This window comes from Homo sapiens, chromosome 5 (genome assembly GCF_000001405.40).
Source record: "Homo sapiens chromosome 5, GRCh38.p14 Primary Assembly".
NCBI lineage: Eukaryota > Metazoa > Chordata > Mammalia > Primates > Hominidae > Homo > Homo sapiens.
In genome coordinates this window covers 138,687,069-138,703,613 of record NC_000005.10, presented here as the reverse complement: position 1 = coordinate 138,703,613, position 16,545 = coordinate 138,687,069, and the positions used below count along the sequence as shown (strand labels likewise).

The 16,545-nt window shown below is 46.2% G+C and overlaps 1 annotated feature.

Moving 5' to 3' along the window:
- Window positions 940-1,234: a silencer, noted in NCBI's record as "tiled region #9755; K562 Repressive non-DNase unmatched - State 8:EnhW". NCBI's record gives its function as "represses a minimal TATA promoter and a strong SV40 promoter by Sharpr-MPRA in K562 cells {active_cell/tissue: K562}" and the evidence as "EXISTENCE:reporter gene assay evidence [ECO:0000049][PMID:27701403]".

Genomic DNA, 16,545 nt, shown 5'->3' with positions numbered 1-16,545 from the left:
AGAGGAGGCAGGAGGGTTGTTATTCCCTACAGGAGGACTTCGTCATTGATCTAGTAGCTTTGGAATGGACAATTCTCTTGGTCTAGAGGTCCAATTCTTTGGAGACAGAATGTGTCTCCAGAGGTGAAGGAGATGATCAGGAGATCATGAAGAAAACCAAGAAGGGTGCCTGAACCTAAAAGGCAAAGTTTGGTAGGAGCTGCTGCCAATAACAGGGTGCTCCTCCCTGCCTGCCTGCCCAAGAGAGGTGAGAATGAGGAAGAGGGTGGCTAAGAAGGGTCTTGAGGCCAGTGGAGAAGCATCAGGGGACGCAGCTCTCATTCCAAGCCAGCAACAGCAACATTCCACGGAGGGGCAAATCCCTGTGGGCTGCCTCCAAATATCTATGGCTTTTTATTGTTGGGCACCATGGCCATGATTTCAGCTCCTCCTGGATTTTTGGTGACAGTCCTGCTCAAATCTTCTCTCAGTGTGAAATGGATTGCTGCATTTCCAGGGCTTAATTGTCCACACTAGCTAAAAGCACTCTGCCAGTAATGAAAATACATCCACTCTTTTTATCAAGAAAAAAGGATAATAACTCAGCCAGCTTTAGCCTACATTTTATTGAACATCAGCTGAGCTTGTTTCCAAGGACATCTGTGATGCAAAGCACAGAAGGCTGCTGGTAGGGTGGGGGTGGGGGCACAGGAGGTGCTGAGAAAAGGTCTGGGGAACAAAGAGCCCAAGGGTACCCTCCTTACTCCCTCAGAACACACAGCTTTCCAAAATGACAGATGTGCCTTCCCGGGAGCTGGAGCATGTGACTACTTAAAACTTAAAATCCTTTTGTTTTTCATGTAAGATGAATGACAACTATAGCAATAATAATAATCATGGCACATCAAGGGACATGCAGATATGCTCTCACTTGATTCTTACAACCTCCCTGAATGGCCAACAGGACAAACGTTATTGCATCATTTTTATGGATAATGAAACTGAGACTGAAGGAAGGAAAGGTGACACCCAGTGTCATCAGTTAGTATTAAAGTCGGTGTCTGTTGCCTGAGCTGGGCAGTCTTTCCATGGCTCCTCACCCAGAGGTGGGGTGGGTCCTGGAGAGCGGGGGATGCTGGAGGGGGTTCCTGGTAAGGATAAGGCCCTTAGGGATTTATCCAGTTCGAAAGACTGCATTCAAAGAAGCTAAAGCAAGCTCTGCCATCCCTCAGTTCCACCTCTATAACCTCCTCTTACACCAATGCTCTGGCCACACTGACCTCCTGTGGCTGATACTCCTGATCACCTACTTATAGGTAGGCCTTTCCCATTTCTTTGCTTAATGAAGCTTAATTTTGCTTCCAGAAGCCTGGGTTTTAAATTTATTTATTTTTCTTACATATACATCTTTTATTTCTTTTTCTTACCTTATTTCACTAGTTAGGACCTCCAGTACAGTGTTGAATGGGGGTTTGTGTTTTCTTTCTTTTTTTTCCATGCTTACTATTTTCCTGACCTTGAACTCCTGGGCTCAAGCAATCCTCCTGCTTCAGCTTCCTGAGTAGCTGGGATTATTGGCACACGCCACTGCACTCTGCTCACAGAAGCCTGGTTTTTGTCAGAAATGGAGAACATTGGTTCTTCACTAAAGTTCTACAGAAGCTAGGTTTCTCCCTTGCCCAGCTCTAAACCAGTCTTAGTAATCCCATTCCTTTTGCTAATGACTGGTTTAGGAATGGGCGTGTTGTGTAATTTTCTTATGCTATGAGATGTGAAGAGGAATCTGTGCAGGGTTGTGGGAAGGGTTGCCTTGTTCTGAAAAGGAGCGAGTTTGCACTGTTCTCTCTGCTTTTGGACACTGCATGGAGATGAGGATGTAATGGGAGATTGGAGCTTTGGCTGCCATCTTGGTGTCTGGAAGGAAGCCAGCCCAAGAGAATGGCTGAGCAGAAAGAAGGACATAACCTAGCCCTTGATAATGTTGATTTGCTAAACTAAACAAACTTAGAACCCTGTCCCCATGGCCCCCAGGCTTCTTTATGTGAAGGCAATAAAATTCCTTCTTGTTTGTGCCATTTTGAATTGGGACTTCTCTTTCTACTAAAAACATTCTAAATGATACACCTCCTTTCTGCTCCTCAAACCCTCCAAGTTCATTCTCATTTCAGGTGTCTTCACTTGCTGTTCCCACTGTCTGGAACAGGATTCCACCAAATCCCCCCATGGCTGTCCCCTTCTTATCATTCAGGCCTCAGCCCAAAGTTCCTTCTCCAGAGAGACCTTCTATAAGCTACCAATCTTCCAGTCACTATGTGTTCTTTATATAATTTGTTAATATCAGAAGTTATCTTTTTATTTATGCTTACTATTTTACTCACTAGAGTGTAAGCTCCATGTGAGTAAGAACTGTGATCGATTTGCTCATCGCTGTACTCCCAGCAACTGACACAGGGCCTAGCACATAGTAGGTGCTCAATAAATATTTGATGAACGAATGAATAAGCCCCAGAGACAATCTCATCATCCTGTTCCCCAATCTTCCTTTCCCCCATGCTGTGTGTAGTGTGTCCATACCACTGGCCTTTCATCAATTCCTTTTGCAGGTCCAGAAAGAAATAAAGAAGGCAGTAGAGAAGGAAAACATCAGAAACGCAAAATTATTTTAGGCTTAAATGTAAAAGGAGAACAGGCTGATTGCATAACATATGTAGATATATGCAAATTACCATGCAAGTTAAATAGAAGAGAAGTTTGAAGTGGTGGGAAATCCAAAGGCCCATGTTGGGTGTGTTTTCCTTTTCCCTGGGAAGCAGTATCGACTTCTCAGTCTTAGAAAGTGGGGGTGCTGACGCACAGTGAGAGGAAAAGCAGTTGAGAGTTACACAAGTAACAAAGAATTTAATTTAGCTGTTGTTTTTCTAAGAGACAGAAATTAAAAACATTCCACTTATCCACTCTAAATAGTAGGACTAGGAAGCATAAAACTCTCTTCGGTTTTACATGACGGCCAACTAAGATTACAGAGGCAGAGGGAGAAGGAAACAGGGAGAAGAAGAAAGACAAGAGAACAAGAGACGACCTGCAAATTGCCCCAGTCCTTCAGAGGCAATAACCAAATCCATGTGATAATAATCCTTTACATTCACAGAAAAAAACAAAAACCACACTTACACAAACAGCCTTCTGGGATTATAAAAAACAGGTGAGAGGGGCATGGCCGGGTGCAGTGGCTCACACCTGTAATCCCAGTGCTTTGAGAGGCCAAGGTGAGAGGATCTTTTTGTTTGTTTGCTTGTTTTTTGTTTTTTGAGACAGTCTCACTCTATTGCCCAGGCTGGAGTGCAACGGCACAATCTCAGCTCACTGCAACCTCCACCTCCTGGGTTCCAGCAATTCTCCTGCCTCAGCCTCCCAAGTAGCTGGGATTACAGGCACCCACCACCACGCCCAGCTAATTTTTTACATTTTTAGTAGAGATGGGGTTTTGCCATGTTGACCAAGCTGGTCTCAAACTCCTGACCTCGTGATTCGCCTGCCATGGCCTCTCAAAGTGCTGGGATTACAGGCATGAGCCACCGCACCCAGCCTCTAGGTTATTACTGATTTCAAACATTCGGAGCCAGTGTCCCCATATCACCAGCTCCTGTGCTGTTGCTCTGGCCATCATCGGGTCTCACTTTGGTTTCCGCAATAGCCTTGTGACTGGTCTCCCCACTCCTAACCTGGCCTTTCTCCTGGCTGTTCTCCACACAGCAGCCCCAGCCATCCTGTTAAAAGGAAGGCAGAGCTTGTCTCTTCTCTGCTCTAAACCCTGCCCTGGCTTCTTCACCCAGAGAATGAACCAAGTCCCTGCAATGGCCTACAGGGGCTACAGCCCTGGTCCTCTGACCTCCTCTCCTCCCCACCCTCCTGCTCATCCAGCTCCAGCCACACTGCCCTCCCTTCCTGCTCCACACCTCACCCACAATCCCACGCCAGCCTTTGCTCTCTGCCTCCCTCTGCCCAGAGGGCTGCCCTTGTGCCCTGACATCCTCTTGGCTCACTCCCTCATCTTGGCAGGTCTTGACTTAATCATCACTCTCATCCAGGCCTTCCCCAGCTACCCCATTTAAAACTGCAAACTTGGGAGGACATGGTGGCTCACGCCTGTAATATCAGCACTTTGGGAGGCCGAGGAGGGTGGATCGCTTGAATCCAGGAGTTGGAGACCAACCTGGGCAACATAGTGAACCCCCATCTCTACAAAAAATACAAAAATTAGCTGGGTGTAGTGGTGTGCACCTGTAGTCACAGCTACTAAGGAGGCTGAGGTGGGAGGATCACTTGAGTCTGGGAGATTGAGGCTGCAGTGAGCTGAGAGCATGCCACTGCCCTCCAGCCTGGGCAACAGAGCAATATCTTACCTCAAAATAAATAAATAAAAGTGCAAACTCAACTGAGCTCAGTGACTCGCACCTGTAATTCCAGCACTTAGGAAGGTTGAGTGGGGAAGGCTCATTTGAGACCAGGAGTTCAAGACCAGCCGGGGCAACATAGCAAAACCTCATCTCTACAAAATAAAAATTTAAAACTTACAAGGAGGAGAAGAAAAAAATATAAAGAATTAAAAACTTAGCCAGGTGTGGTGGTGCTACAACTTCTGAGTAGTTGTAGCTACTTAGAAGGCTCAGGCAGGAGAATCTCTTGAGCCCAGGAGTTGGAGGCTGCAGTGAGCTTTGATGTTGCCATTGCACTCTGGCCTGGGCAACAGACAGTGAGGCCCTGTCTCTAACGGATAAAACAAAACCACAAACTCCTCTGCCCTCCACGCTCCCCACCCTCTTTCCCTGCTTTATTTTTCTCCATGGCTCTTACTCTCTAACTTATTGCATATTTTGTGTATTTGTCGTTTATTGTCTGTCCCTGTAGAATAAAAGATCCGGGAGAGCAGGGACTTTTGTCTGTTTTGCTGATTGCTGTCTCCTCAGTCCCTTGAAAAGAGACTGACAAATTAAGCCCTCAAAAAGTTACAAAGGCTGGGCGCGGTGGCTCATGCCTGTAATCCCAGCACTTTGGGAGTCCAAGGCAGGCGGATCACAAGGTCAGGAGATCGAGACCATCCTGGCTAACACAGTGCAACCCTGTTTCTACTAAAAATACAAAAAATTAGCCGGGTGTGGTGGCACGTGCCTGTAGTCCCAGCTACTCAGAAGGCTGAGGCAGGAGAATCACTTGAACCCGGAAGGTGGAGGTTGCAGTGAGCCGAGATCACGCCACTGCACTCCAGCCTGGGCAACAGACCAGGACTTGGTCTCAAAAAAAAAAAAAAAAAAAAAAAAGTGTTTGCTGATGGTCCTTTAATTTGGATTAACTTAGTTTTTTTGTTTTGTTTTGTTTTGTTTTAAAAACATGACATTACTCTCATTTTTGTTATCTTAGGGAGAACCAGTGAAGACTTTCTCACAGGCTCAGAGGGAGCTTCACACTCATGCTTGAGAAGCCTGACCCAGAGGCTGTAAGTCCCTGGAGACAATTCCTGGCTCTGAACCCCCAGACTGGTCCCAGAAAGGGTAGGCCCTCTTTGACACTCAGCTCACATCGGCTAGGTGCCTGAACAGCAAATGTCAGTGCCTCCTCCTAAACGCAGGCAGATTTACTTTGCAGACGGTGAGGGTGCATTTTAATTTGTTGATGTGAAATCTTAATTGAACTAAACTGCTAGAGGTAGTCTCTGTTCTCTGTCATAGTCTTAATTTAGTTGGCAAAACAAGATATCATCAGAGGAAAATCACAGGCAAAGACGCCGTGCCCAGAGGGTTTGAGGAACACCCTTCTGTGCTTGGAGGTGGGCTGGTGTGTGACTGGCACCAGCACGAACCCCATCCCCACACCTTCAGATGCCAACTCGGCTTTCCAGGGATACTCAGGCAGCATCACAAGGGCTCAGACACTTGGGACCCCCACAGCAGCCAGACTCCACATGACTCCCTGTCATGTTTTCAAAGCTCTATTTTTAGTATGAAAGCAGGGAGATGAAGGCTTTCTTACCTGAAGGCACAGAAGTGTGGGAGGTGGCAGGTCTATCACTCACTTGCTGTGAGACCTTGACATTTCGCCTACCTGTGCCTCAGTTTCCCCATCTGTGCATCAAGGAGGCTGGAATCCATGTTCCTATTCTTTATTTTTATTTTTTGAGACAGGGTCTTACTCTATTGCCCAGGCTGGAGTGCAGTGGTGCAATCATAGCTCACTGGCTCACTCACTGTAACCTGGAACTCCTGGGCTCAAGCGATCCTCCTGCCTCAGTCTCCCAAGTAGCTGGGACTACAGGTGTGCACCACCACAACTGGCTAATTTTTAAATTTTTATTGTGGAGACAGGGGCTCGCTATGTTGCTGACACTGGTCTCAAACTTCTGGACTCAAGTGATTCTCCCACTTCAACCTTCCAAAGTGCTAGGATTACAGGCATGAGCCACCGTAACTGGCCTCTAACCTGAGTTCTCGGCCATGGCATCTGCTCAGCCATTTGCCTCCCTGTCTCCTACGGGGGGGTCAGGCTGAAGGCCTTTCACTGAAGTGGCCTCATCCCTGACCCACAGAATCACAGGTTGCCATTGCCTTGGCCTGGGAGGGAGCCTTAGCAATCATTCTCTTGATGGCAGAGATACCCACCCCATCCCTTTCCCAGACCCCTCTCTCCAGAGGCCTTCTACACATGTTGCTTGTCCCACTGCAGCTTATGTCTATCAGGCCTGTCCATATCTGGAGAAGACCCTGAGGTCTTGCTCCAAGACGTATAGGCTGGCTGGCAGGAATCGGGCCCCTTGGACAGTCCAGCCCAGATTCCTGCATTATCTTATTCCCAGGAAAGCCTCTGCGGGGATTTCCCAGGGAAGTGACTCAGGGCTTGGTGTCTCCCCACAGCTGTGAAAGAACTGGGGGCAGATTCATGGAGGGCAGGTTCCTGAGCTGGCAGGTCCTTACCCTGCTCCCTCATTGGCTGCCACAGAAGGGCCGCCATAGGCCCCCGTCACCTACATTTAGTCACAAGTTCTCATGCTGGGAACCAGGCGCCAGGAGGTTTAGGAAAGAGGCAATTCCTTGCAGAAGAAAGATCACAGCTTTGCAGTAGAAACCACCTGGCAAGTGCCTTCTGTTCACTGAGCCTGTTTCTTCATCTGTTAGGTGGGGATAATTATACCTGTCTCAGGGAACTGTTGTGAGAATGAGATGACATAATGCTTCTTTTTTTTTTTTTTTTGAGACGGAGTCTTGCTCTGTCGCCCAGGCTGGTGTGCAGTCGCGCGATCTTGGCTCACTGCAAGCTCCGCCTCCCGAGTTCACACCATTGTCCTGCCTCAGCCTCCTGACATAATGCTTCTAGAGTGTGCAGCACTGTGCCTGGTCCATAGCCTGCCATCTCCAAATGGGAGCCGTTGACGCCATTATTAGTATTGAAGTTCTAGCTCAGTGCCTGGCTAGGAATCTGCTGAATAAATGAAACTGTTATATTCAGCCACCAGAGGATACGCAGAGCTGCAGCTTCTTTCAACTCTTTGGAGACCATAGCGATCTCCACATCACACAGACACAGGCTGGGAGACTCCTCTCTCCCCTAATTCCTCTGTCCCATGCTCTGCTTCTGCCTCAGTCCGGGAGGAAGCCAGCACCAGGGAAACTCTGATGTCTGTTTGGCAGGGTGAGGGCATTTGAGAGATAAACTGTCAGCTCTGCCTCCCTCCACACTTGGTGGAAGATGGAAATGGCCTTTTCCCATCACAGAATGGAAAGTTTAATGATGCTAAGCTAAAGTCATCAGGGCTTCTTACACAGGAAGGGCCTGGACTTCTGAGCAGCCTTCCTTGGGGGTTAGTTCTTTGTAGAGACTGGGCTCAGCCTTTGATTAGGCTACATTCTTCTACTGAAAGTGCCAAAACCCTCTCAAATTCTTTTTGTTGTTGTTGTTGTTGTTGTTTTTTGTTTTTTTGTTGTTGTTGTTTTTTACACAGGGTCTCACTCTGGTGCCCAAGCTGGAGTACAGTGCATGATCACAGCTTACTGCAGCCTCGAACTCCTGGGCTCAGGTTATGTTCCCACCACAGCCTCCTGAGTTGCTGGGACTATAGGCGCATGCCACCACGCCTGGCTAATTTTTTGTATCTTTTGTAGAGATGGAGTTTTGCCATGTCACCCAGGCTGGTCTTGAACTCCTGGACTCAAGCAATCCTCCCACCTCAGCCTCCCAAAGTGCTGGGCTTATAGGTGTGAACCACCATGCCCAGCCACCTCCCTCAAATTCTTAAGCAAAAATGGAATGCATTGACTCGCAGACAAGAGACCAGACTCGGGAAGGACCCTAATCAGAGTCTGAAGAAGGAAGAGCTGTCAGAATCAAGGCCACAGGGACTGGAACCAGAGGCTCAGCATGCAGGGAAACACTGTCCCATGAAGGAAATAAAACCTAGTGGTTGGCCAGGCACAGTGGCTCATACCTGTAATCTCAGCTTTTTGGGAGACCGAGATGGGCAGATTGCTTGAGCTCTGGAGTTTGAGACCAGCCTGGGCAACATAGTAAGACCTCATCACTATATTAAAAAAAAAAAAAAAGGTAGCCAGGCATGGTGACACATGCCTGTAGTCCCAGCTACTTGGGAGGCTGAGGTGGGAGGATCACCTGAGCCCCGGAAGTCGAGGCTGAAGTGAACCATGATTGGGCTGCTGCACTCCAGCTTGGGTGACAGAGTGAGACCCTGTCTCAAAAAATAAAAAAATAAAAAAACAAAAAACCTGGGCCCACTTTATGTTGGGAGGTCAAGAAGGTCAGGTCATGCCAGATCTGTGGACAGAACAGCCCCAGGAAGAGGTAATAATCAGTGCAAAGGACCTACATGCCAGGAGGGCATGATGGGAGGTGACAACCACAAGGAGGCAGGGCCATGTGACATACACAGCATAGAATGGTTTTCATCCATGGTTCCTGGCTCATAACTCCCATAGCCCCTGTTACTGCCTTTTTTATAATGTTGGGCTGCTTTAGGCATCAGAAGCAGGCCTCAGAAAATGGAATCTCTCTCTGACTCCTGCCCTCCTTTCACTTGCTCCTTTTTCTCTCCAAGGCAGGACTCAAATCCTACCCATCTTTCTGTCTCGGAGCTGGCCATAAAGAAATTATCTGACCTACCTTGTCTGACTGTAGACCATAAGACCCTCATTTCAGAAGGGACCTGCCCCATACCTTGGAGGAAGAAAGGCTGCAGAGAGGCCAAGAAGAATCTGAACAGACAGGCTTTGCTGGGTTTCCCCACTCAGTCTGTTAACATTAGATCATCCCCTTCTTGTCCAACCACAGTTCTACATGGCTGTCCATGCTTCTATTATGCCTATCCAATGCAGTCTCCATAAAAGGCCCAGGAGGACAGGGTTCAGAGAGCTTCTGGACAGCTGAACCCATGGAGGTTCCTGGAGGGTGACGCTCCCTGGGAAAGCACGGAAGCTTCACATGCCTTCCTATATCTCACCCAATGCATCTCTTCATCTGTGTCCTTTGTAATGTCCTTTATAATAAATAGGTAAACATGAGTAAGTGTTCTTTGAGTCCTTGCAGAAAACTGCTACTCTAGCAAATTAACCAAACCCAAGGAGGGGGGTCAGTCAGAAGCACAGATGAAACAACCTGGGGCTTGCAATTGGCATTGGAAGAGGACGCAGTCTTAGGGACTGAGCCTTCAAACTCAGGAGTCTGATGCTATCTCCAGATAAATAGTGTCACAATTGAACTGAATTAGAGGACATTCAGTTGATATCCACAGCAGAACTCACTGCTTGCTTATTGGTGGGAAGAAACCCCCACATATTTGGTCACAGAAGTCTTCTATGATGGTTGTTGTGGTGTGAGAGCAGAAGAAAAACAGTTTGGGCCAGGCGCAGTGGCTCATGCCTGTAACCCCAGCCACTGTGGGAGGCCGAGGCCGGTGGATTGCTTGAGCTCAGGAGCTCGAGACCAGCCTGGGCAATATGGCAAAATCCCATTTCTACTAAAAATACAAAAAAAAAAAAAAATAGCCAGGCATGGTGGTGCATGCCTGTGGTCCCAGTTACTTGGAAGACTGAGATGGGAAGTTGCAGTGAGCCGAGATTGTGCCACTGCATTCAGCCTGAGTGAGAAAGAGAGAGACTGACTCTGTCAAAAAAAAAAAAAAAAAAAGAAGAAGAAGAAAGAGAAAGAAAGAAGAAAGAGAGAGAGAAAGAAAGGAGAGAAAGAAAGAAAGAAAAAGGAAAGAAAGAAAGAAAGAAAGAAAGAAAGAAAGAAAGAAGAAAGAAAGAAAGAAAGAAAGAAAGAAAGAAAGAAAGAAAGAAAGAAAGAAAGAAAGAAAGAAAGAAAACAGTTTGTTCTTTTCTATACAGGCCAGATCATGAATGACCTTATAGGCCAAGAAATGAAATTTTCTTAAAAAAAAAATAGAGTCAGGGTTTTACTCTGTTGCCCAAGCTGGTCTCCAACTCCTAAACTTAAGTAATTCTCCTGCCTCGGCCTCCCAAAGGGCTGGGATTACAGGCTTGAGCCACCATGTCCACTGGAAATTTAATTTTATCCAAAGGATTATGGGGAGGCTTTTGATGGGTTTTAAACACTGAGGGACTTGATCGAACTTATATTTTCAAAAGAACACTCTGTTTGCTATGTGAAAAGGAGACCAGGGGTAGAATAGAAGGAGGGCTTGGGGGAAAGTCTAGTCTAGCAGATTTGAAGAGGTGATGATAAAAGTTCTGTTCTGCAGAATAGAAAATCCAGAAATAAATCCACATATTTATGGCCAACTGCTTTTCAACAAAGGCACCAAGAATATACACTGGGGAAAGGAGAGTCTCTTCAATAAATGGTGCTGGGGCTGGGCACAGTGGCTCACACCTGTAATCCCAGAACTTTGGGAGGCCAGGGCAGGAGGATCACTTGAGCCCAGGAGTTTGAGACTTGCCTGGGCAACATAGTAAGATCCTGTCTCTACTCAGCTACTCAGGAGGCTGAAGTAGAAGGATTGCTTGAGCCCAGGAGGGTGAGGCTCAGTGAGCCATGATTGCATCACTGCATTCCAGCCTGGGTCACAGAGTGAGACCTGGTCTCAAAAATTAAGAACAAAATAGTGCTGGGAAAACTGGATATCTATATGTAGAAGAATGAGATTTCTATCTCTCAACTCAAAATGGGCTAGATGGGGTGGCTTGGGTATGTAATCCCAGCACTTTAGGAGGCTGAGGTGTGAGAATCACTTGAAGCCATAAGTTTGAGACCAGCCTGGGCAACATAGCTATACCCTGTCTCTAAAACAACAACAACAGCAAACCTAAAACACACACAATAGCAAACAACAAAAAAAATCAACTCGAAATGGATTAAAGACTTAAACATAAGACCTGAAACTATAAAACTATTAGAAGAAAACATGGGGGAAATGCTTCAGGACAATGGGCTATGCAAAGATTTCATGGGTAAGGCTTCAAAAGCATAGGCAATGATATGGATTGTCTCTGTGTCCCCACCCAAATCTCATCTCGAACTGTAATCCCCACACGTCGAGTAGGGACCTGGTGGGAGGTGATGATTGGATCACGGAAGTGGTTTCCCCCGTGCTGCTCTCATGGTAGTGAGGGAGTTCTCATGAGATCTGGTTGTTTGATAAGTGCCTGGCATTTCCCCTGTGCTCTCTCTCTCTCCTGCCATCATGTGAGACATGCCTTGCTTCCTCTTCACCTTCCACCATGATTGTAAGTTTCCTGAGGCCTCCCAACTCATGTGCAACTGTGAGTCAATTAAACCTCTTTCCTTTATAAATTACCCAGTCTCGGGTAGTATCTTTACAGCAGTGTGAGAGCAGACTAATATGGGCAGCAAAAAAAAAAAAAAACAGACAAACTATAGCAAACTAGAAAGCTCTGTACAGCAAAGGAAATAATCAACAGTGAAAAGATAACCTGTAGAATGGAGGAAAATATTTGCAAACTATTCATCCAACAAGGAACTAATATTCCATAATATGTAAGGAACTCAAAAAACACTCAACAGCAAAAAAAAATCTGATTTAAAAATGGATAAAGAATCTGAATAGATATTTCTCAAAAGAAGACATACTAACAGCCAATAAGTCTATGAAAAAATGCTCAACGTCATTTATCATCAAGGAAATGCAAATCAAAACCACAAGGAGATATAATCTTACCATGGTAAAAATGGCCTTTGTTTGTTTGTTTGTTTGTTTGTTTGAGATAGAGTCTTGCTTTGCCACCCAGGCTAGAGTTCAATGGCATCATCTCGGCTCACTGCAACCTCCACCTCCCAGGCTCAAGCAATTCTCTTGCCTCAACCTTCCAAGTAGCTGGGACTACAGGTGTGCGTCACCGTGCCCGATAGTTTTCGTATTTTTAGTAGAGACAGGCTTCCGTCATGTTGGCCAGATTGGTCTCAACTCCTGGCCTCAAGTGATCCGTCCGCCTCGGCCTCCCAAAGTGCTGGGATTACAGGCATGAACCACCGCACCCAGTCTAAAAATGGCTTTTATCAAAAAGACAAAATAACATAAGTTGGGAGGATGTGGAGAAAGGGGAATGCTTGTACACTGTTGGTGAGAATGTAAATTATTATAGTACAGCCGCTCTGAAGAACAGTATGGAGGTTCTTCAAAAAACTAAAATAGAACTACCATATGATCCAGCAATCCCTTTGCGGGTATAACCAAAAGAAAGGAAATCAGTATATCGAAGAGATATCTGCATCCCTATGTAGACTACAGCCCTCTTCACAATAGCCAAGATACAGAATCAACCTGAATGTCTATTAACAGATGAATGGATAAAGGAAATGTGCTACCTATACACAATGGAATACTATTCAGCCATAAAAAAAGAATGAAATCCTGTCATTTTCAGTAAGACATTATGTTAAGTGAAATAAGTCAGACACAAAATGAGAAATAACACATGTTCTCATTCATATGTGAGAGCTAAAAAAACTCAAACTCATGAAAGTGAGAAGAGTTGTGTTTATTAGAGACTGAGAAGGGTATGGGGAGGGGAGGAGAGGGAGAGGTTGGTTAATGGATACAAAGTTACAGCTAGATGAGAGGAATAAGTTCTAGTGTTCTCTAGGACTGCAGGGTGAATGTTGGTTAACAGTAATTTAGTGTACATTTTCAAAAAGCCTGGACAACATAATGAGACCTCAACTCTACAAAAAAAAACCCTTTTTTTAAAAAAATTAACTAAATTTGGCCGGGCCCAGTGGCTCACCCCTATAATCCCAGCACTTTGGGAGGCCAAGGTGGGTGGATCACTTGAGCCCAGAGATCGAGACCAGTCTGGCCAACATGGTGAAACCCCAACTCTACTAAAAAAATACAAAATTAGCCGAGCGTGGTGGCACATGCCTGTAATCCCAGCTACTTGGAAGACTGAGGCAGGAGAATCATTTGAACCTGGGAGGCGAAGATTGCAGTGAGCCGAGAACGTGACACTGCACTCCAGCCTCGGTGACAAGAGTGAAACTCCATCTCAAATAATAATAATTATTATTATTATCCAAGCATGGTGATGCAGGCCTGTGTTACCAGCTACTGGGAGGGGTGAAGCTTGGGCTGAGGTGGGAGAATTGCTTGAGCCTGGAAGGTCAAGGCTACAGTGAGCCATGATCGCACCACTGCACTCCAACCTGGGCGACAGAGCAAGATCCTGTCTCAAAACAAAACAAAAAGCTAGAAGAGAATATTTTGAATTTTCACAACACGAAGAAATGATAAATATTTAACATGATGTATATACTAACTACCCTGATTAGGTTATTACACATTATATACATATATCAAAACATCACTGTGTATCCCATAAATATGAACAATCATTACATGTCAACTAAAAATAAAATTGGCCGAGTGTGGTGGCTCATGCCTGTAATCCCAGCACTTTCGGAGGCCAAGGCAGGTGGATCAACTGAGGTCAGGAGTTCGAGACCAGCCTGGCCAACATGGTGAAACTCCATCTCTACTAAAAATACAAAAATTAGCCAGGCGTGGTGGTGGGCACCTGTAATCCCAGCTACTTGGGAGGCTGAGGCAGGAGAATTGCTTGAACCTGGGAGGCAGAGGTTGCAGTGAGCCAAGATCACACCATTGCACTCCAGCCTGGGCAACAAGAGGAAAACTCCGTCTTAAAAAAAAATTTGAAATAAATTTAAAACAAAACAAAAAGTTACATTCTGGTCATGTTAAATTTGAGATGCTGCAGGGTGCAATGGCTCACGCTTGTAATCCCAGCACTTTGGGAGGCCGAGGCGGGTGGATCACTTTGAGATCGGGAGTTAGAGACCAGCCTGGCCAACATGGTGAAATCCCATCTCTACTAAAAATATAAAAATTAGCCTGGAATGGTGGCACATGCCTAGAGTCCCAGCTTCTCAGGAGGCTGAGGCAAGAGAATCGCTTGAACCCAGGAAGCGGAGGTTGCAGTGAGCTGAAATCGTGCCATTGCACTCCAGCCTGGGCAACAGAGCAAGACTCTGTCTCAAAAAGAAAAAAAAAATTATCCAGGCGTGGTAGTAAGCACCTGTAGTCTCAGTCCTAGGCTTGGTTGGGAGAATTGCTTGGGCCCACAAGATCAAGGCTGCAGTGTGCCATGATTATGCCACTGCACTCCAGCCTGGGTGAAAGAGCAAGACCGTCTCAAAAACAGAATTTTTTTTTTGAGATGCCTATTAGATGTTGTTTTAGGTTCCTATGGCTGCTATAACAAATGACCACAAACTAAGTGGCTTAAAACAACAGAAATTTATTATCTTACAGTTCTGGAAGCCAGAAGTATGAATGCAGGGTGTCATCAGGTTGATTCTTTCTGGACACTCTGAGACAGAATGTGTTCCATGCCTCTCTCTTATTTTCTGGTAGTGGCCAGCAAACCTTGGCTAATGGACACATCACTCCAGTCTCTGCCTCTATCTTCACCTGGTATTCTCCCTGTGTGTCTCTGTCTCTATGTTTCTCGTCTTTTTTTTTGGGGGGGGGGCGGGGTACAGAGTCTCACTCTTCTGCCCAGGCTGGAGTGCAGTGGCGCGATCTCGACTTACTGCAAGCTGCACCTCCTGGGTTCATGCCATTCTCCTGCCTCAGCCTCTTGAGTAGTAGCTGGGGCTACAGGTGCCCGCCACCACGCCCAGCTAATTTTTTGTATTTTTAGTAGAGTTGGGATTTCACCGTGTTAACCAGGATGGTCTCAATCTGCTGACCTCGTGATCTGCCTGCCTCGGCCTCCCAGAGTGCTGGGATTACAGGCAGGCGTGAGCCACTGTGCCCAGTCCTTTTTTTTTTTTTTTTTTTTTTGAGACGGCATCTCACTCTGTCTTCCAGGCTGGAGTGCTGTGTTGTGAACACGGTTCACTGCAGCCTCGAACTGCTGGGCTCAAGTGGTTCTCCTGGCTTCACCTCCCAAGTAGCTGGGACTACAGGTGTGCACCACCACTCCTCTTCTTATAAGAACACCAGTCATATTGGATTTAGGGCCCACCCTAACCCAGTGTGATCTCATCTTAACTTGATTATTTACTTATTTATCAACCTATTTTACACCAAGTCAAAATCAATGGCAATCTTAACTTGATTATATCTGCAAAGACCCTATTTTCAAATAAGGTCACATTCACAGGTACTGGGGGGTTAGGACTTCAATATATCTTTTTAGGGAACACAATTCAACACATAAGAGATATCAAAGGGTGTGTCAAGTAGGCTGATAGGTATACAAAGGTGAAATTCAGGGGAGAGGTCTAGTTTGGAAGCACTAATTTCGCCATCACAGTAAAACACTAGTGGGGGCTGGGTGCAGTAGCTCACGCCTATTATTCCAGCATTTTGGGAGGCCAAGGTGAAAGGATCCCTTGAGCCCAGGAGTTTGAGACCAGCCTGGGCAACATAGTGAGACCCTACCTCTATAAAAAATAAGAAAATTAGCCAGGTATGGTGTAACATGTCTGTATTTACTTATTTATTTTTATTCTTTGAGACAGAGTCTCTCTCTGTTGCCCAGGCTGGAGTGCAGTGGCATGATCCTGGCTCACTGCAATCTCCACCTCCCAGGTTCAAGCAATTCTGGTGCCTCAGCCTCTCCAGTAGCTGGGATTACAGGCAGGCACTACCACGCCCAGCTAATTTTTGTATTTTTAGTAGAGACGGGTTTTTACCATGTTAGCCAGGCTGGTCTCAAACTCCTGACCTCAAGTGATCCACCCACCTGGCCCTCTGAAAGTGCTGGGATTATAGGTGTGAGCCATCACACCCAGCCGCATGACTGTATTCCTAGCTACTTGAGAGGCTAAAGCAGGAGAACCACTTGAGCCCCGGGGACAGAGGCTGCAGTGAGCTAAGATCATGCCACTGCACTCCGGCCTGAGCGACAGAGCAAGACTCTGTCTTAAAAGAAAAACAGTCATGGGACTACATGTAGATAGAGAAGAGAAAGGGAACTAGGTTGAGTTCCAGCACTTTCCAACATTTAGTAGTTTGTTAAAGAAGGAGCCAGCATAGGAGACAAAGAAGAAGTGCCCAGTGAG